General features: G+C 40.4%; 1 long non-coding RNA gene across 1 annotated transcript in view, besides 1 other annotated feature; it reads left to right on the top strand.

Moving 5' to 3' along the window:
* Positions 1-9977: 9977 nt before the first annotated feature.
* LINC01299 (long intergenic non-protein coding RNA 1299) overlaps positions 9978-22712 on the top strand; it is a 35659-nt gene continuing 22924 nt past the window's right edge. The window contains exon 1 of the long non-coding RNA NR_033893.1: positions 9978-10038. This is a non-coding gene — a long non-coding RNA (long intergenic non-protein coding RNA 1299). The remainder of the gene's footprint in view (positions 10039-22712) is intronic.
* Positions 11376-12075: an enhancer, noted in NCBI's record as "H3K4me1 hESC enhancer chr8:66472804-66473503 (GRCh37/hg19 assembly coordinates)". NCBI's record gives its function as "activates a minimal SCP1, AML or CMV promoter by ChIP-STARR-seq in naive H9 embryonic stem cells {active_cell/tissue: H9 hESC(naive)}" and the evidence as "EXISTENCE:reporter gene assay evidence [ECO:0000049][PMID:30033119]".

The raw sequence follows: 22712 nt of genomic DNA, 5'->3' as shown, positions 1-22712 counted from the left end.
AAAGGAAACAGTCATAGAATGAACAACCTGTAGAATGGGAGAAAATATTTGCAAACTGTTCATCTGATAAGGGACTAATATCCAGAATATACAAGGAATTCAAGAAACTCAATAATAATAATATCCCATTAAAAACTGGGCAAATACATGAATAGATAATTCTCAAAAGAAGACATACAAATGGACAACAGGTATATGAAAAAATGTTCAACATCACTAGTCATCAGGGAAATTCAAATCAAAGCCACCATGAGATACCAGCTTATCCTGTTAGAATGGCTATTACTAAAAAGTAAAAAAATAATAGATGATGGTGAGGATGTGGAGAAAAGGGCATTCTCATACACTGTTAGTGGGGATGTAAATTAGTACAACCTCTATGATAAGCAGTATGGAAATTTCTCAGCAAACTAAAAATAGAACTACCATAGGTTCCATTAATCCCACTCCTGGATACCTACCCAAAGGAAAAGAAATTAGTATATCAAAGGGACGTGTTTATTGCAATACTATTCACAATAGCAAAGATATGTAATCAACTTAACTGTCCATCAATGGATAACTGGATAAAGTAAATGTGGTATATATACACAATGAAATACTATTAAACCATGAAAAAATCATGAAATAAGGCTGGGCTTGGTGGCTCACACCTGTAATCCCAGCACTTTGGGAGGCCGAATTGGGAGGCTCACTTGAGCCTGGGAGTTTGAGACCAGCCTGGCCAACATGGTGAAACCCCATCTCTACTAAAAATACAAAACTTAGCCAGATGTGGTGGTGGGCGCCTGTAGTCCCAGCTACTGCGGAGACCAAGAAGCACAATAATTGCTTGAGCCTAGGAGGTGGAGCTTGCAGTGAGCCAAGATTGTGCCACTGCACTTCAGCCTGGGCAAAAGAGCAAGACGCTGTCTCAAAAAAAAAGAAATCATGTCATTTGCAGCAACATGGTGGAACTGGAGGTCATTATGTTGAATGAAATAAGCCAGGCCTAGAAAGACAAATATTGCATGTTCTCATTTGTGGGAGCTAAAATAGTTGATCTCATAAAGATAGACAGTAGAATGGTAGGTTTCAAAGGTGGGTGGGTGTGGTTGGGGTATGAAAAGAGGTAAGTTAAGGGGTACACAAATACAGTTAGATAAAAGGTAGAAGTTCTATTGTTCCACAGCAGAGAAGAGTGATTATCATTAACATCAATGTATTGTATACTTCAAAGTGGCTAGAAGAGAGGACTTGAGTTCTTTCCAATATGTAGAAATGATAAATGCTCAGAGTGATGGACGACACCTCAATACCCTCACCTGACCTGATAATTACACATTCTATGCATGTTACAAAATATCACATGTACCCCATTGATTTTTAAATATTATATATCAATAAAAAAATAAGCCGGGCATGGTGGCTCACACCTTCAATCCTAGCACTTTGGGAGGTCTGGGCGGGAGAATCACTTGAGCCCAGAGTTCAGGACCAGCCTGGGCAACATGGCGAAACCCTGTCTCTACAAAAAATTAGCCAGGCATGGTGGAGTGAGCCTGTAATCCCAGCTACTTGAGAGACTGAAGTGGGAAGATCGCCTGAGCCTGGAGGTCGAGGCTGCAGTGAGCGAAGATTGTGCCACTGCACTCTAGCCTGGGTGACACAGTGAGACTCTGTTTCAAAAAACAAAAATAAAATAAATAAGCCAGGTACAGCCAGTACCTGTAATGCCAGCTACCTAGTAGGTTGAGGCAGGAGGATTGCTTGAGCCCAGAAGTTGGAAACTGCAGTGAGCTATGATCATGCCACTGCATGGGCGACACAGCCTGGGCCACACAGTGAGATCCTATCTCTAAAACAAACAAACAAATAAACAAGTTAGAAATAAATACAGCATTTAAATTATTAGCATTATGAAATTTAAATATATAGTCTCATTATGTAAACATGTAATATTATTTAACACTGAGTCAGTAGGATTGGAACAGCAGAGAAGGACATATACTCCTGCTTCACTAAACCTGTGCCTTTGAAGGAGAATGCTTCCTATTTGGCTGATGACTTTTTTGTAATTTCTCAAATTTTTCTCAGAGTTCTAGTGTGGCTTTTTAAATTCTTGTTGAGAAAAAAATAATTCTTCTTGGCCATCTCACTAAGTTCTTTCAGCCTCCTAATCTATGATTTGTAGAATGAAGTCCATTCCGACATTGAAGACGTTCTTTTTTTTTTTTTTAATACTTTAAGTTTTAGGGTACATGTGCAGGTTTGTTACATATGTATACATGTGCCATGTTGGTGTGCTGCACCCATTAACTCGTCATTTAACATTAGGTGTATCTCCTAATGCTATCCCTCCCCCATCCCCCCACCCCACAACAGGCCCCGGTGTATGATGTTCCCCTTCCTGTGTCCATGTGTTCTCATTGTTCGATTCCCACCTATGAGTGAGAACATGCGGTGTTTGGTTTTCTGTCCTTGCGATAGTTTGCTGAGAATGATGGTTTCCAGCTTCATCCATGTCCCTACAAAGGACATGAACTCATCACTTTTTATGGCTGCACAGTATTCCATGGTGTATATGCGCCACATTTTCCTAATCCAGTCTATCATTGTTGGACATTTGGGTTGGTTCCAAGTCTTTGCTATTGTGAATAGTGCCGCAATAAACATATGTGTGCATGTGTCTTTATAGCAGCATGATTTATAATCCTTTGGGTATATACCCAGTAATGGGATGGCTGGGTCAGATGGTATCTCTAGTTCTAGATCCCTGAGGAATCACCACACTGTCTTCCACAATGGTTGAACTAGTTTACAGTCCCACCAACAGTGTAAAAGTGTTCCTATTTCTCCACATCCTCTCCAGCACCTGTTGTTTCCTGACTTTTTAATGATTGCAGTTCTAACTGGTGTGAGATGGTATCTCATTGTGGTTTTGATTTGCATAGACATTCTTTTTATACCTTCTAACTTCGTGTTCCAGCCACAGAGCTGCCATCTGGGCATTTCTTCTCATTGCACTCCCTGGGTTGGTGTCATTTTTTTCAGATGCTATGTAATTTTTCCAGAAGGGTGTGTCAAAATAGTACTTTTATATCTATAAAGCGTTTTTTCCTCACACTTGATTTTGTTGCTGCTGTGAACGGTAGCTTACTTTCAGTTATCTTTTCTAAATGATGAGTGCAGAACAACACTATTGATAAGTTGATCTTTTAGTTGGGAACTTTGCTCAACTCTCTTATTAGGTCTAAGAGTTAACTGCTTTGGAGATAAAAGCATCTACAAATAATCAGTTTGATCTTTTTCCTTCCAGTCCTTATTTTTTTTTTGTCGCATTGGTCAGAACGTCCAGTACTATGTAGGATAGAATTGTAGGTCCATACGATTTTTTTTCTTCCTAATTTTAAAGACATTGTCTTCTAATATTCAGGGACCCTGTTGAGAAATCTAATATTACGTAAAATTCCATTCTTCTGTAGGGAAACTGTTTTTAGTCTAGAAGCTTTAGGATATTCACCTTTTCCTTGGAGTCCTGTAGTTCTATAAGGATACACTTAGGTATAAATCTTTTTATTTATCCTAACGGCATTTTGTGCTGTACACTTACATCTTTTTAGCTCTAAGAATTTTCTTCTATTTTCTCCCAGTTAGTTGTCTCTTTTTTCCTCCTGTAATGACTATTTGACTAATATTAGGCTTCCTCAGTTGATCTCCATTCTCCAACTTTTTTCTTGTATTTTCCATGGTTTCATCTTTCTGGTTTACATTCTGAGACATTTTCCCAACTTTCTCTTCTAGGCCTTTTATTGAAATTTTAATTGAGGAAACGATACTTTTGATTTTAAGGAATCTTTCTGGCACTTAGTCCTGTTTTTTAGAGGGGCATATCTCACCTATTGTCTCAGATATTCCTAAGTATACTAATGATATCAACTTCTTTTAATTGCAAGTGATAGAAAATCACTTCCTACACTGCATAAGGAAAGAAGGAACTTAATGCTCACAAAACTAAAAAGTTCAGTAGTAGGGCTTACTTTGGGTATAGTTTAGTTTGATATAGGAGCTTAAATGATGTCACAAGGACCTGATTTCCATTTTCATCTTACCTTTGTTTGTTGTAGCTCCATTCTCACTCTCCCTTCATGGTAGCAATAGGCAGCAGCAGGCTCAACCCACACAAGCTAATATTCCATGAGAATGAGTGAAGTCCTTTTCCTAGAGTTCCCAGTAGGGGTCTCATTGCAGTGTGCTGTCTCTGACTGGACACATTCCTAAACAAATTCCAGTTGCTGTGGGAATGGAAGTGGGAAGGTGTACACTAGTGCAGCCATAGTCATCTTTCTTCCATTAGGGAAGAGCCTGTCTGACCATAGAGTTTTGGCCTAGGTTGCAGAGTAGATTCAAACACAAAGGCTGACTGTAGCAGGATACGGCCGAACAGAGCAAAATGGGGTAACCTCAGGACAGGGAGTCCTAGCCATAACACATAACAAATACTTTCTGCAATAATATAATATAGATAAATATTGGGCGTTTTGAATAAGTAGGGGCAAAAGGTAAATGAGTATTGGGCATTTTACTGAGATGGAGGGTAGTAAACTGGGGAGTGGTAAGTATGTACCTTAAAAATTGTCCAGAGGTCCCTTATATCTCACTGTTACAGATGTATGTGAGTATGTGTGGAGGGGTAGGCAGAGAAATAAACCTTTTGTGTGTGTATGTGTGTGTGTGTGTGTGTGCGTGTTTGAGACAGTGTCTTGCTCTGTTGCCCAGGCTGGAGTGCAGTGGAGCATATACAGCTCACTGCAGCCTTGATCTCCTGGGCTCAAGCCATCCTCCCACCTCAACCTCCCAAAGAGCTGAGATTACAGATGTGAGCTTCTGCATCCAGCCTAAACCCTTGATGATTAAAAGTATGTCTGTGTTTATATCTGAAATTTCACCAGTTTTTCTAGAACAGGGAGGTGCTACTGGGTGGATTGAGAAGGTTGAAAACTATTAATCACTCACATTTTATTGAGAATGGTCTTAATCAATTTTTCTATTTCTAGAAGAGATCAGCCTATGCTATACTTACACATATGGGAACATGGGAGAGAGAGAGAAGACTTTCTCAACATGACATCAAGGACTTCAAAGAGGAAGATGTCCTAGGGAAAGGGAGACTGGAAGAACTGGAACTAAGAGGAAAATGAAGACATATCCTCTACTACTTTGATGCCATTTTCTCCTTTTCTCAGAGACTGGATCTCAGCTCTATTCTTTCCTTTTCCCCCTCTTTATTCTTTTAAGTTAACGTAACAAGTAGGACTTTTAGCATAAATAACTAACATGAGTAGTTTATCAGTCCATGTCTACCCTCTACCTGCTTCTGTGAACTGTCAACACAATGTGAATTTTCCTGGTTAGTTTGTATCAAAGTCCAGAGATTAGCCTTTAGAAGCAACTATATGAGGACAAAGGATGGGATGAGTAGATTTTATTTGCTGAATAAGGTGGAAGCATCACCTCCGATGTTAATAATTTTTTTTCCTTTACTTTCCTAAGCTCACTCTGCATGTTACTTTGGTTGGAGTGTTAGTTCCAATTTAGGCAGCAGGCTTTCTTGTAACTCTTTTTATAATTCTCTCTGCTTTAATAGTTTTGGTCGCTGGAAGGATGAATTAATAAATTATTTGGAAACTGAGATATGGGCCAAACCATCTTCATTGTTAGACCTCACCTAAGGAAGCAGCAGCTAGGAAAAACTCTAGATGAAGTTTGTAGACTAGGAGTCAGCTGCTTTGATGACTGCTGGCTGGGGGATGGCAGGCTTCTGTTTCATAAAACGCACATGCTAGATGAGATCTCCAAGGTTATTACCAGCTTTGACATTTTATTTTCTGGCAGACAATGTATAGGTTCTGATGTTTACCAAGAATCAGTGCAGACAGTTCTAGTCTATTTCTTTTAAATAAATCTCTTCACCTGATAGTCACATCTCATTAGTGATGAGACCAGGCACTGTAGGCTTTACTAGGGTGCAGGGGAGAGGGGAGAGGACAGGATGAAATCCCCATTTCCTTTATATTTCTATTTATATCACATGTTCGCCATCTCTTTTTGTCTCTTTCCTCTACTAGACTGTGAGCTTCTTGGGAACAGGGGCTGTGCCTTGTTCATCTTCTTCCCCGTGTCCAGCATGGATGGTGCCTATCTAACATGGTGCTTACCAAATATCTGAATGCCTAAACTAGATAATTCCACCAACCTTCAATTCTACCGTTAAATTATAACCTTGATATAATTTGCCTTGTTTTTTCCCCATAATATTTGGAAAACCTCTTACTCAGTGTATTCTTATGCTATTTTATCTTTTTATAATTTAATTAAAAAAATTATTTTGTAAAGAAAGGGTTTGCCCAGGCTGGTCTCAAACTTCTGAGCTGAAGCAATCCTCCTGCCTGGGCTTCCCAAAGTTCTGGGATTACAGGTGTGAGCCACCACGCTGCTATTTTATCTTAATGATTAAAAAATAACTTTATGTGAGAAAGAGAACCAGTCTATTTTTCCTAGTTGCAATATCCATTTTCTTTAACTGGCATCAACAGTACTTTGGGGAAGGAGAAAATTTATGTGAGGTTACTAGATAAAATTCAGGATGTCCATTAGAAATTTGACTTTCAGATAAATAACAAGGATCTTTTTAGGGTAAATATGCCCCAATTGTTTGTTGTGTTTCTGAAATTTTAATTGAACTGGGTGTTCTATTTTTTCCCCCTAAATCTACCAATCCCAGGCTCTACTCTTGGAGTATCCAATATTCCATGTCGAAGCCTTCCAAACTTAGGTTCTAGAATATAATGGAGAAATAGAATCTTGGAGGCCAGGATCTAGCTCAGAAGACATGATCTGTTAGGCCAACACCCTTCTCTTACCACAGAACCATCTAAATTACAACCAAAGGTAAAGAAATATCCAACTGAGAGCACACAGCAGCAGCGCTCTGCTTTCCCCCCTTTTTTTTTTCTTTTTGAGATGGAGTTTCGCTCTTGTTGCCCAGGCTGGAGTGCAATGGTGTGATCTCGTCTCACTGCAACCCCCACCTCTGGGGTTCAAGCGATTCTCCGGCCTCAGTCTCCTGAGTAGCTGGGATTACAGGCGTGTGCCACCACTCTCGGCTAATTTTTTGTGTTTTTAGTAGAGATGCGGTTTCACCAAGTTGGCCAGGCTGGTCTCAAACTCCTAACCTCAGGTGATCCACCCGCCTCAGCTTCCCAAAGTGCTGAGATTACAGACGTCAGCCACTGCACCTGGCCTCCCATCTTTCTTTAAAAGGGATTTATTGTATATATTATGCCTGAGTAGCAACCCGCTCAAAGGTGGTAGTGGGACAATAGGTGTAGAAATACTGAATGGGCAGAAACTGGAAGCATTCCCTTTGAAAACTGGCACAAGACAGGGATGCCCTCTCTCACCACTCCTATTCACCATAGTGTTGGAAGTTTTGGTCAGGGCAATCAGGCAGGAGAAAGAAATAAAGGGTATTCAATTAGGAAAAGAGGAAGTCAAATTGTCCCTGTTTGCAGATGACATGATTGTATATTTAGAAAACCCCATTGTCTCAGCCCAAAATCTCCTTAAGCTGATAAGCAACTTCAGCAAAGTCTCAGGATACAAAATCAATGTGCAAAAATCACAAGCATTCTTATACACCAATAACAGACAAACAGAGAGCCAAATCACGAATGAACTCCCATTCACAATTGCTTCAAAGAGAATAAAATACCTAGGAATCCAACTTAAAAGGGATGTGAAGGACCTCTTCAAGGAGGACTACAAAACACTGCTCAATGAAATAAAAGAGGACACAAACAAATGGAAGAACATTCCATGCTCATGGATAGGAAGAATCAATATTGTGAAAATGGCCATACTGCCCAAGGTAATTTATAGATTCAGTGCCATCCCCATCAAGCTACTTTAAAGTTCAAAAAACTACTTTAAAGTTCATATGGAACCAAAAAAGAGCCCACATTGCCAAGACAATCCTAAGCCAAAAGAACAAAGCTGGAGGCTTCATGCTACCTGACTTCAAACTATACTACAAGACTACAGTAACCAAAACAGCATGGTACTGGTACCAAAACATAGATATAGACCAATGGAACAGAACAGAGCCATCAGAAATAATACCACACATCTACAACTATCTGATCTTTGACAAACCTGACAAAAACAAGAAATGGGGAAAGGATTCCCTATTTAATAAATGGTGCTGGGAAAACTGGCTAGCCATATGTAGAAAGCTGAAACTGGATCCCTTCCTTACACCTTATACAAAAATTAATTCAAGATGGATCAAAGACTTAAATGCTAGACCTAAAACCATAAAAACCCTAGAAGAAAACCTAGGCAATACCATTTAGGACATAGGCATGGGCAAGGACTTCATGTCTAAAACACCAAAAACAATGGCAACAAAAGCCAAAATTGACAAATGGGATCTAATTAAACTAAAGAGCTTCTGCACAGCAAAATAAACTACCGTCAGAGTGAACAGGCAACCTACAGAATGGGAGAAAATTTTTGCAATCTACTCATTTGACAAAGGGCTAATATCCAGAATCTACAAAGAACTCAAACAAATTTACAAGAAAAAACCCCATCAAAAAGTGGGCGAAGAATATGAACAGACACTTCTCAAAAGAAGACATTTATGCAGTCAACAGACACATCAAAAAATGCTCATCATCACTGGCCGTCAGAGAAATGCAAATCAAAACCACAATGAGATACCATCTCACACCAGTTAGAATTGCAATCATTAAAAAGTCAGGAACCAACAGGTGCTGGAGAGGATGTGGAGAAATAGGAACACTTTTACACTGTTGGTGGGACTGTAAACTAGATCAACCATTGTGGGAGACAGTGTGGCGATTCCTCAGGGATCTAGAACTAGAGATACCATTTGACCCAGCCATCCCATTACTGGGTATATACCCAAAGGATTATAAATCATGCTGCTATAAAGACACATGCACACGTATGTTTATTGCGGCACTATTCACAATAGCAAAGACTTGGAACCAACCCAAATATCCAACAATGATAGACTGGATTAGGAAAATGTGGCGCATATACACCATGGAATACTGTGCAGCCATAAAAAGTGATGAGTTCATGTCCTTTGTAGGGACATGGATGAAGCTGGAAACCATCATTCTCAGCAAACTATCGCAAGGACAGAAAACCACACACCTCATGTTCTCACTCATAGGTGGGAATTGAACAATGAGAACACATGGACACAGGAAGGGGAACATCACACATGGGGGCCTGTTGTGGGGTGGGGGGATGGGGGAGGGATAGCATTAGGAGATATACCTAATGTAAATGACGAGTTAATGGGTGCAGCACACCAACATGGCACATGTTGTAACAAACCTGCACGTTGTGCAGATGTACCCTAGAACTTAAAGTATATATAAAAAAAGAAATACAAGTCTTAGATCTTGTTCATGGGCTTCTGAAGAACAAACTTGAAGTGTCTCAAAAAGATTTAAAATTTCTCATATAGAATTGAAAATTCTTCCCAAATGGAAAATTTTTATACATTTCTGATTTATTACGGAAATAATTGAGGGGATAGGTAGACAAAATTTTTTTCCAGTTTTTTTCCTTGATTCTCTAATGCATGCATTATGACTGACAAGGATTTCTACTTTTCCCCCCCTTTATTCCTTTCTGGGTTTATTGCTGACTCTAAAACTTGGTTACTCCAAGGAGTACCTGAAGATCCAGGAACGGTTTGGAAAGTGCTGCATGAATCATTAACACTGCTTGATAGTGGGTGTGACAGCCACTTATTAAACATATCCCCTCTCATCACAGTAGCATTTGCTACTGGGACCATGTTCAGAATCTGACCAGGGATGGCCCCTTTCCCATCCTTCTCTGGTCCCAGCCTTTGCAGAGGAGAGCATCTGTGAAGTCGAGATAATGCCACCATTGTGTATTGTGCATTGTGAACACCCTTCTCTTCCCACAGAACCATCTAAATTACAACCAAAGGTAAAGCAGTGCCCTGTTTCCTATCTTTTTTTTTTTTTTTTGAGACGGAGTTTCGCTCATCTCCCAGGCTGGAGTGCAATGGTGTGATCTCGATACTTTTAGTGATTATTACATAGAGATATAATGTCTTTTGTAGTAATTATTGCTTATGCAATGGCAAAAGCATTTTGTTTTCTCTATCAAGGTTAACAGCATTTAAAAGTGAAAGGATCTTAAACCTTGTTCTTAGGATGAGGTTTAATATGTTATATGTAGCATGCTATATACATTAAGTTATGTTGTGTTCTGTCAAATAAATGACTAAGTAATCAATATGACTTTTCACATCCGGTAAAATTTTAGTGGGATTTGCCTTTGCCTTTGAGTACATTACCTAAATAATCCACGAGATGGCAGCAGAGAAATGTTCATTTAAATTTATCATCTATGGAGAGGTTGCTACAAGTGCACTTTAACAAAAAATAGACTAACCTTTGTAATTTGGTCCTTTCTAAACATAGAGTAACCAGTTAGAATTTTTAAGTCATTTCTCATGTCTTTTATAAGAGACGTAATGAGAGTTTTATTTTATTTTAATTTTTATTGGTCTTAAAGTTGTTTTCCTTGCTCACTACATTTTGCAGCAAGAACCAGGTCTAAATGCTTGGAAATGTACTTGCCGGGCTATGTTTTTCTTTCACAGTGAGCATTCTCATAAGTAATCTTGGAAAAGCTGGGAACAATAAATTTTGGGACATCACTAAGAGTGTTCTTTGTGGTGATTTACAACCTGATGCCACCATCCTTTAGGAACAAACAAGAAAGTGAAAAGAGATGGTTTTCAGGTATTGGAGCCTGAGTTTAGGTGGGGGAGTGGGTGGTGAGTGGGGTAAGAAGAGAGGGAGTGTGTGGGGAAAAAGGATATTTCCATAGAGACTGCAGTTTTCACCTAAATTTGTATTATATTTACATTACCAGCTACGTTTTCACTTATTTGTTAGAGGGAGTAATTGGAGTTAACAATAGATAGTTGCAGGTGCTTTTTATTCAGAAGAAAAATTGTTTTCCTATAAATGACCTCAATTTTCTAATTTTAGTGTCATGTATTTCTTATGAAGTGATAAAAGGCACAATATAAGTCTGTTCTATAGATATAATTAATAACAAATTAATTACCACTACTCTGTATCATTTATTACTTTGGATTTCATTATGCCTGAAGCTTGGAAACTTAATTACACACACACACGCGCACACACACAAGCACACACACACACACAACACATACGCACGCTTGAATGTGCTTTTTGTTTATATAAATAGGACATGCTTGTTGCAAACTTTTAAATCATACAGGAATATATGAAATAGAAAATGAAGAGTCCCACAATCCCTTGAGGTAGTTTGTGAATATTCTTGCAGATATTTCTCTAAGGAAAGATGAACACATTTACATATTTTAACAAATGAGATCATACAGCACTGATACTGCGTTGCAACTTAGGTTTCAAATTTACTCTATAATGGACATCTTTCCATGTTTGGTTTTTATAAGCCACAGATTATTCCATTACATGTTCGTGACATAATGTTTTAAACTAACTCTATTGATGGATATTGTTTTCCATGTTTTTTGTTGCTATAATTACAATGCTGCACGGAGCAATTTTGTGTTTCTCTGTGAGTATTTAAAATCTAAACTTTTGACCAAATAGCATTTTCAGAAGTGGAACACCACAATTGAAATTAGTAATAAAATCCTATGATGACACCCATATGGGCAGAGCTGGTACATTACACGTGGGAACATGTTGGTGAAGCTCTCTTCTTTTTAAGAGCACTAGGAGGAAGCCTGTGTGTGAACAGCGGCAGCGCGCGCCCGCTCTAGGCTTGCACCAGGCACTCCGTGGCCACGGCTTCCCCAGAGCTTGGCCCTCCGCTGCGGTCTTCACACACCTGTGAGGCCCCGATAGTACTGGCTCCAGGCGCACCTCGCTGCGCCAGCAGGTGTTGGCTTTTATCTATTCAGCCAGGCAGGAATGAAATGCGCTGTCCCTGGGGACCCTCTTCCTCTTCGATTCCTCCACGGTGCCAGAGATCAAGGAGGGGAAGGTCTGAAGTCTGGGAAGCCAGGGGCAGGGCATTGTCAAGGAGGCACGCAGGACTCTGGAATGCGCTCCGCCCGGGTCCAGCAGGGCCGGGACTGTCTGCCTTCGGGGCACAACGGAGGCCCCATCTGTTTGCTCCAGCGTTTTCCTGAGTGGTCGCCTTATGGCGGCCCCCTCACCCGCAGGCCCGCCGAGCTGCGGAGATCATCTCATCATCTCTGCCACTTCACACGGAGGGGCGAACGCTGGCAAAGTATTGTTTTATGACAGAATTTCTCAGCCAAGGGATTCAGACTCTTATTTATTTCATGAAAAGGAAGGAAAACATTTTATACAAATAATGGAAATTCAAATATAAGACAACAGGTGTAACATTTCACATTCAGAACTCCTTTTCAAGTCCCAAGAGTGTTTTTTAATCGAATCTTGTATCCCAGTCGTTATATAAACCGAGTATCTGGCCTTTTTGGGGGGTCTGGAGGGTGTCTCTGGGATTGCAGCAATGGATGATCTCAACCTTTATCAACTAGGTGATATTTAAAAATATCCTGGGTAACTAGGATCTTGAAAAAGATCCGGACTCTTCCATTTATAAGGTCCTAGGATTTGTAAACAAGACCATTAGACACAACTTTTTCTTACCATATAAGGCAGCCATTTTCTCATTATTTCTATATTTTATTTTTTATTTTTTTGAGACGAAGTCTCACTCCGTTGCCCAAGCTGGAGTGCAGTGGCTTGATCTCGGCTCATTGCAACCTCTGTCTCCCAGGTTCAAGTGATTCTCCTGCCTCAGCCTCCTGAGTAGCTGGGACTACAGGCACGTGCCACCATGCCCGGCTAATTTTTGTATTTTTAGTAGAGATGGGGTTTCAGGATGTTGGCCAGGCTGGTCTTGAACTCCTGACCTCATGATCTGCCCGCTTCAGCCTCCCAACGTGCTGGGATTACAGGCATGAGCCACCGAGCCTGGCCCTCATTATTCTTTTACAATAATGTCTGCCTCTTCTTGCTCCATTTTGAACTGCGTCTAGTTTTGTAGACTGGACTCCTAGATGTGGGTCTAGTGTTTAAGAGGCACCCTTTAGGTTCTGAAGGCAGCAAATGCATTGTTGGTGACTGCAGAAAAGAAAAAGCAATATGGTTTTGCTGCTTATGAGCAAAACATTGGAAAGTTAAAGCAGTGAATGTGCCCTCTGCACTGCAGAGGCTGTGTTTTATATGTTCTGTATCTCTGTGAAGTTTGAATAGTAACAATAGCCAAATAGTAACAATGGCCAAATGTTCTGTATCTCTATGAAGTTTGAATAGTAACAATGGCCAAATAGAAAACTTGTAGTAAATTAATATTTTGAGTTCATTCATTCAACAAGTTTGCATTGAGAAATTGCTGTATGCCAGCTATTGTTCTTGTCACTGTTTTATGAGCAAAAGAGATAAAACTTCTTGCCCTCAGGGTACTCAATTTTTAGTACATAGGGACAGTAAGCAAATTAACCATTCTTAGTATATGAGGTGGTGATCAGTGCCAAGGAGAAAAACAAAGCATGGAAAGGGGATGAATTGCATTGTTAGGTGGGACGTCAGGGTAGGCTTTACTCATGGATGAGTGGGATGGCATTTGAACAATGACCTGAAGGAATGGATGGAAGGGAAAGCAGTGCCCCAAGCAGGACGGATGGCAAATGCCTGGCAAGTATGAGGCCAGGCCTTTGTGGTGGGAGTGGATTGCAGAAGGAGAGAGTATGATGCCAGCTCAGGGAGGGAAGAGGGCTGGACTACATGGGCCTGCGTAGTCTGGACAGGACTTTGCCTTTACTGTGAGTAACCTGGGGGAACGATTTTGGATTTTAAGTGGAGGAGTAAAGTGATTTGATTTGATTTTTAAAAAGGTTATTGGAGCTGCTGTATTGAGGACAGACAGAGGGGCAGGAAGGGAGACCTATAGAACTGATTGCTGCAGTCCTAGAAAGACATGACCGTGGCCTGTCCTGGGGGTAGCAGTGGAAACAGAGATTGTGCCTGTATTTTGAAGGTGATGCTGACCTTCCAAATCAATTTTTCCTGATAGTCCAGGATCTACCTAGCAAGCCTCCAAGGAAGGAGAGAATTTCTAAAACAATTTAAGTGAATGGAGAAGCAGAAGAAAAAACTTAAAAGAGCAGAGTGGGGTGGGATCATTAAGGAGATAATCCTGTCAAGGGAGGGAGAGTTTTGGGAGGAGGCTAAGAATTCAGGTAATTCCTAGCATCTTGATGAAGCACACGGTAAAGACTTTTGATGTGATCGAAAGGCCTGTGCGATTCCATTATGGTTTAAGAGTGAAATAGCCCCCAATTTATAGCAGAACGTGGAGAAAATACCTTCGTCAGCAGTAATAAGGCTAGTCTAAAGGCAAAGAGTGTTGGAAAAATATAAGAAACTCAACAAAGCTTTCGTGAGCGAGGGATAGAAGGGAAGGGGTAGTTATGAAAAATTTGTTACAGAAAACATTGGCAGAACTTGGCAACTAATTTAGCATTCTGAGTATGGGCTAGGAGATGAATTCAATACTATTCCAAGGTTTCTACTTTGTAGCTTTGAAGAGATGCTGGCAGTCTTTCCAATACTTGGAAACTAGAACCAGGGAAGGGCCACGCATGAAGAGTAGGTAATGTGTCTCTTGAGAAATGCTTAATATAACAGTTCTTATAGAAAAAGCACTAGGCAGAGTACATAAACTCATAGTATGAAAATTCAGGATAAAGGAGATTGGGGGGTTTAGTGGGGTCAGGCGAAGTAATAGCCAAAGAGCAAATGATTTTCTCTTATCCTAATTAGAAAAAGGAAATGGTCATTGCAGTGCTCTTAGATGATAAAAAGCTTCCGGGAGAGGACAGAAAGGCTGAGGGAGGCCGCGATCCAGGCCAAAGTTTCACTGGGAACCAGCTCAAACAGGATGCTGAGAGGCTGATGGTGCCCTGTGGTGTCACAAGTTACAGAGAAGTTTGATGTGGGGTCTCTGGACCATGGGCCATAACAACCCAATTGGCAAGGAAGCTAGACTTTTGTCTTGTCCTCCGAGGATACCAGCAGGATTGGAGATTATTTTATTTTTTTCAGTATTGCTGGGAACAAGTTTTGGGCGGAAAAGAAAAAGAGAAAGATGCAAGTGTGAATTAACATGAGAGAAGAGACCTCCATGAAGTTCCTATCTATTTTTGTATTTTTATAAATAGCCAAGTGATGAATAAAACCGACGAAGTGTTTGCTATAACAGGTCATACAATTGACATTACTGCTATATTTTCACAAAGAAAAGAACTCTGTGCCTTCAGTAACTGCTTGCCTAAAATCCATAATTCCTTATTTGACAAAACTCACATGGCTCTGGTTCTGTGTCATTTGTCAAATTAGATTCTAAGAATACAAAATTGCCAGGCGCGGTGGCTCACGCCTGTAATCCCAGCACTTTGGGAGGCCGAGGCAGGTGGATCACGAGGTCAGGAGATCGAGACCATCCTGGCTAATATGGTGAAACCCCATCTCTACTAAAAAATACAAAAAATCAGCCGGGCGTGGTGGCAGGCGCCTGTAGTCCCAGCTACTCGGGAGGCTGAGGCAGGAGAATGGCGTGAACCCGGGAGGCGGAGCTTGCAGTGAGCCGAGATCGCACCACTGCACTCCAGCCTGGGCAACAGAGCGAGACTCCGTCTCAAAAAAAAAAAAAAAAAAAAAAAAAATTCAAAATTGAGCAAGATATGAATCTTATCCAAAAGATCCTTACAGTTTAACTTGGGAGAGAGAGACATTCAAACAAGCAATTGCAACACGGTGTGATAAGGTCAATAAAGTAAAAAAAAAATGTCTTGGGCTTTGTAGTCGCACAGATAAGCTGCGTCACCACTGCCTTCCTTGTGTAAACTTGAGAAATTTACCTCTGATTTTCAGTCTCCTTATTTGAAAATGGATATAACTTTTGCCTTGCATTTCGGGGGAACAATATAGGCCACAAAACAGCATGGACAGTAAGAAGTTTGAGAAAATCAGATATGAGGTTTTCTGAAAGTAAATTTTTACAGTAGGGAATCAGGGAAAGTAGACAGAGGAAAGAGGCCTTTGATCTTTTAAATTTGGTAATGTCTTTATGAAAAATACTGCTATCTGCTAAATACATTACTACATATCATTCCAGGCCCTGGCTTTATAAGACAAGTAGAAATCTCACATTTCAAGCAACTTGACTCTTTCCTGTAGTCTTTATTTCAGCCAGACTGCTACTGTTTCCCTACATGCCTTGCTCTTTCCAGCTTTGGATCTTTTATTTGGCTGTTGTCACCGTACCACTTCCTTGCAAATATCCCATTCATCATTTGAAGCCCATTTCAAATGCCACACAATCTAGGAGAATTTTCTTCGCCCCCAGCCGTCTGAGCCCTCTCACCCCTTTGACCTTCCTTAGCAATTTTCTGCTTAGTGGACTTTCCCTACCATAATTTGCATGCCCGTAGCCCTGGATGAAAAGTTCCTTGGGATCAAGAATGATGTCTTTTCTATCTTTGCATGCCCTCAGACCTTAGCTTCTTGTCTTACACATCTCACACATAGTCGATGACATCTAAATATTTGTGAAATTGAGTTTGGTTAGTGAAACAATTTCTTATAGCCACAGAAAAAGAGCTAATCCATAGTTGTAAGAGGTTCCGGATCATTGAATGAAAGCTGCTCGTTCAGCAGATCATAATTGTGAAAAACTGTTAAGTGTATACTTTTGATGAACAGGTTTTGCTGTGTTGCTGAGTTCATGTTGCCATGACAACCTTAACTTTTGGCACTTTCTGAATTTAGTGTCCTACTTAATTTCCTGTACTTGGCTCTGAGAGCCTTATTGTTCTGTCCCTTGTGCTTGCCTATATGAATCTTTAAACTGAGAGTCATTTATGAATGTATCTTATTTTGCTTTATTAGGTAATACATTCTTTAAGATTGGGAACTTGGTCTTATCCTTATGATCCTGACAATACCCAAGTGTGCCTTGTACATTTTAGATAGTCAATCTGTCAATACATATTTTAGATGAATTGAGAAATCATTGATGTAGTAGGCTGTTACAGTGGCCACCCAAAGATGTTCATGCCCTGATGCTTGAGACCCATGAATATGTCATCTTATATAGTAAAGGGGACTTTGCAGATATGGTCAAGAATTTTAAGATGAGATTATTCTGGATTATCCAGATGAGCCAATGTCATTGCAGGGGTCTTTATAAGAGGGAGGCAGGAGGACCTGAATCAGTAGTAGGAGATATGATGATGGAAGCAAGAAGTTGAAGTGATGTGAGAAGGGGACCACGAGTCAAGGAATGCAGGTGCTTCTAGAAGTCCTGCAAGGAAAAGGAAATAAACTGTACCCTGATGCCTCCAGAGGGAGCATAGCCCTGCTGACACCTTGATTTTAGACTTGTGACCTCCAGAACTGTGAGAGGTTACATTTGGTTGTTTTAAGCCAGGTAGTTTTTGGTAATTTGCTATAACATGCAGTAGAACATGAATACAATTGGGCCACTCATTTTAATAAGTTTCAAAGACCCCTGAGAGGAGTTGTTAAGCACCAGTCCAGTTAGAGGTATTATTTTGGTCAGGCTCTAGATAATACTACTTCTAATAGTACAAAAGGATGAAGTGAGAAAGAAGCATAGAGATTATCTTGCTAATTTGAACGTAGTCACTGTCAGAATTCCAATAATATATAAAATAGATATAGAGTTATCTACAACTAACCCACAAAGTTTGAAAATGCCATTTATTCAAAAAACTTACACTGAGTGTCAAATGAGTGCCTTGCATTGTGCTAGAATACTGGACCTATTCAGCACCCAGGTCAGATCTCACAGAAGTCTTGATGGAGATTTTCTGTGGTTAGAGAGGACTTGTACCTTCTGGCCACCTATGGCCTAGTACGTACATATGGCTTCAGGGAGGAATGAATAAGATTTGGTTTATTATGGAGTAGAAATTATTAGGTCAAACCACGTGTCAAAATCCAGAATGGATGGTGTCTTCAGAATCCATGTGAACTTTCCACAGCAGTTTTTCTCAATGTTGACTGGACGTCAAAGTCTTCGATGTGTGTGTCAGGAGGTACCAGTCCATGAGTGGGGAACTGCAGTGATCTTAAACTCACTTGTGATTCATCAATTCAGAAACAAATAAACAGATGTCACAGTATTTTTCTAACCAAGACAGCGAAAAATGGGACACTTCCTCAAATGAGCAGTACCTAATTAAAGACCCTTAATATTACTGAAAAAAAAAGTATAAGTTTTGGCCGGGTGCTTTGGCTTATGCCTGTAATCCTAGCACTTTGAGAGGCCAAGGCGGGCAGATCACCTCAGGTCAGGAGTTTGAGACCAGCCTGGCCAACATGGTGAAACCCCGTCTCTACTAAAAAGACAAAAAAATTAGCCGGGCATGGTGGTGTGTGCCTGTAATCTCAACTACTCGGAGGCTGAGGCAAGAGAATCGCTTGAACCTGGGAGGCGGAGGTTGTAGTGAGCTGAGATCGCACCACAGCACTCCAGCCTGGGCGACAGAGCGGGCCATCTAAAAAAAAAAAAAAATGTGTAAGTTTTAACAATCACAGAATCACACAACTTCTATCAGGTGGTAATCCCTATATTGGTCCCGGATGGGAGGGCTGCTGTTCACGCAGTACTCACTGCTGACCACATACCCTGCATGCTTTCTCTCATTTCCATTGACGGCTACTCATATTACCACTACCGTTTTAAAGATTAAAAAAAAGAGGCACAGAGGTTAAATGGCTTGGCTGAGATAAAATACCTATCAATTCCACATCTGTTGTTCCATGGAATACTGTGTGTTTTATGTGCAGTGCATCATTTAATCCCTCTACAAAATGTACAGGGGAGGAATTAATGTGAGTAAACTTGTCTCAAGTCTCAGCTCATATATGACAAATCTGAGACTGTCTCCACAGATGCATCCTCCCCACGACTAGGGCACCCCACTTTTGTCTTCTTTGGGTTGGTAGGGAAAGGAAAAGTGTTTTGTGTTTCAACAAATGGTGGCAAAACAACCGGACATTCACATACCAAAAAGTGAACCTAGACACAGACCTTCACCTCTTCGTGAAAATTAACTCAAAATGTATCATAGACCTAAATGTACAATACAAAACTATAAAACTACTAGAAGGTAACAGGAGAAAAATCTTGATGACCTTGGGTTTGATGAAGACTTTTTAGACAGAACACCAAAGGCATGATCCATGAAAGAAAGAATTGATGAGCTGGACTTCGTTAAAATGAATAATTTTGGCTGGGCGCAGTGGCTCATACCTGTAATCCCAATACTTTGCGAGGCTGAGGCAGGATGATCACTTTAGCCCAGGAGTTTGAGACCAGCCTGGGCAACATCAGGTACCCTGTCTCTACAAATAACAACAAAAAATAGCTAGGTGTGGTGGCACATGCCTGTAGTACCAGCTTCATGGGAGGCTGAGGTGGGAGAGTTGCTTGAGCCCCAGAGGTCTAGGCTGCAGTGAGCCATGATTGCATCATTGCACTCTAACCTGGGTGACAGAGTGAGGCCCCATCCCCAAAAAGAAAAAAAAAAAAGAATATCTGCTCTGCAAAAGACAGTAGACAGTGTCAAAAGAATGAAAAGATAAGCCACAAACTGGAAGAAAATATTTGCAAAAGACATATGTGATGAAGGACTGCAATCCAAAATATACAAAGAGCTCTTAAAAACTTAACAACCCAATTAAGCAACCTGATTAAACAGCCCAATTAAAAAATGGGCAACAGATCTGAACACACACCTCACCAAAAAAGACATACAGATGGCAAATAAACATATGAATTGATGCTCCACATTACATCTCCTTAGGGAAAGGCAAACTAAAAATAACAATGCGATATCACTTCACGCCTATTAGCATGGCCAAAATCCAGAACACTGACAACACCAAATGCTGGTGAGGATGTGAAGCAACAGGAACTCTCATTCGTTGCTGGTGGGAATGCAAAATGGTACCCCAACTTTGGAAGGCAAGTTGACAGTTTCTTACAAAACAAAACACACTCTTACCATATGATCCAGCAATTGCACTCCTTGGTATTTCCTAAAGGAACTGAAAACTTAGGTCCACACAAAAACCTACACACATATGTTTATTAAACCTTTATTCGTAATTGTCAAAACTTGGCAACAACCAAGATATACACCCAATCAATGGAATATTATTCAGTGCTAAAAAGAAATGAGCTATGAAGCCATGAAAAGACATGGAGGGAACTGACATGCATATTACTAAGTAAAAGAAGCTGTATGATTCCAATTAGATGAAATTCTTGAAAAGGTGAAACTATGGAGACTGTACAAAAAAGTCATGGGTGCTAGGGGTTTGGAGGAGCACCATGTGGAGCACAGAGGATATTTAGGGCAGTGAAACTGTTCTTTATGATACTACAGTGGTGGACATATGTCATTACATTTGTCCAAACTCATAGAATGCACAACACCCAGTCTAAACTATAAACCTTGGTTGATAATGATGTGTCAATGTAGGTTCATCAGTTCTAACAAATGTTAGAACTGTTAGAACCATTCTGGTGGAGGATGTTGATAGTGGGGGAGGCTGTGCATGGGTGGGGGCAGGGATATATAGAAAATCTCTGCACTTTCCACCCAATTTTGCTATGAATCTATAACTGCTTTAAAAAATGATACCTATTAATAAAACTTTTTGTGAATGATAGCTTCACATTATTCTTTAAAATGAGGCTTGAAGATTCACATGTAGAAAGCTGTACATAATCAGATACAACTCTTTAGTAAACAACAAAGCTGCCTCTGCCTGTCTATTTGTCTGTCATTTAATCTATCAGACTCTAGCTGGTGAAAATACTTCAAGATCACTCAATAGAAATAAAAACAAAACCAGAAAACAATTGATAGAGGGGCTAATGTGAAAACCAAGAACCATAAAAATTAGCTTATCCTATCACCTCTGATTTCTTAACCCACATGCATGGGACCATTTGCTGAGCTAGGAATCTGGCAGTAAGTCTCAAGGTTCTTCTTACATATTTGTCCCATCATTAGTAAATATCTATCAAAAACATATATATATATAAAATATATATACACACACACCCATATATACACACATATATACACACACATATATATTATACACACATATATATATATCTGTGTAGCCAAAAAATTTATACTCACTTGGCTGAGTTACAAATACAATTATAAATCCGTTATTCATTTCTGGTGTTGCCACCAATACTGCATAAGGGCTGAGCTTTGGAAGTTATGAAGATGATATCCCTTTCCATGTGATTTTTATACATCTTCTGTGTTGAAAACCTTTCTTCTCCAACTCAGTAATATGATTAGTATCAAAATGTGCAGGTCTGAACTATGTTGCCGTTTGCCACTGGTTCTTATTATGCATGGAAACCCCAGATGATTTCAGTAGGTTTCCTACATGCGGCTCTACCTCCTTGCATTCATTCTTCACTGTTCCTGCCAAAATAGTTTCCTCTGTTTACTGTTTTGATTTGAGAAATGCATTCATTATCTATTGCTGGGTAACAAGTTACCACAAATTTAGAGGCTTAAAACAGCACCCACTTATTAGCCCACAGTTCTGTAAGTCAAAGTCCAGCATGGCAAGGTGGGGTTCTCTGTGTAGGATGAACTCAAGGCCAAAATCAGGGTGTCACTTGGGCTGAGTTCTTGTCTGGAGGCTCTAGAGAAAAATCAACTTTTCAGTTTTTGCTTGTTGTTAGCAGAATTCCCTTGGTTGCAGTTGCAGGACTAGGATTTCCACCTCCTCGCTGGTTGTCAGCTGGGGCTGCTCTCAGCAACCAGATCCTGCTCACATTCCCTGCCACGTAGCCCCTCCATTTGCAGACCTGCAATGATGAAGCAAATCCCTCTGATTCTCCCAGTTTCTAATCTTCCCTTCTGCCACTAGCTAGAGAAAACTCCCTGCTTTTAAGGCTTTCAGGTCATTGGGTTATGTACATCTCAATAATCCTTCTTTCTTACAGTCACCTGTGCCATATTACATAATGGAATCACAGGGGAAACATTCATCACATTAACAGTACTGGGGATCCTGCAGGGTGTGTACGGAGAGCGGGGTGAGGAGGCAGGAAATCTTGGTGACCATTTTAGCATGTTGCCTGCTGCCCCACACACAACCCTATGGTGCATTGAATCTGTGAGCTTTAAAAGTCTCTCCAGAGTACCATAGACAACCTACATTCCTCTGGGCCCTGGTCTGCCTCTGCTATGTCATCGTTCTTCTATTCTCAAGCCTCTCTCAAGGAAACACCTCATGGTGCAGTTCCCCAAATGTCCCCAAATGTTCACTGAGCTCCATCACACCAGTCCTTAGAAACTCCAGCTGCTCCAATTCAGATCCGTGGGGATCTTTGGCTTGTACACAAATCCGTGTTGTCAGACACAGGGGAGAGCCCTGCCAATTTTCTCCAAGGATGGCCTATGAATATTGAGATATGTTACAATGATTAAAAACAACACAAAACAACACAACAAC

Source organism: Homo sapiens, chromosome 8, assembly GCF_000001405.40.
Source record: "Homo sapiens chromosome 8, GRCh38.p14 Primary Assembly".
Taxonomy (NCBI): domain Eukaryota; kingdom Metazoa; phylum Chordata; class Mammalia; order Primates; family Hominidae; genus Homo; species Homo sapiens.
Note: the sequence above shows the minus strand (reverse complement) of the source record. Positions and strands in the feature narration are given on the sequence as shown.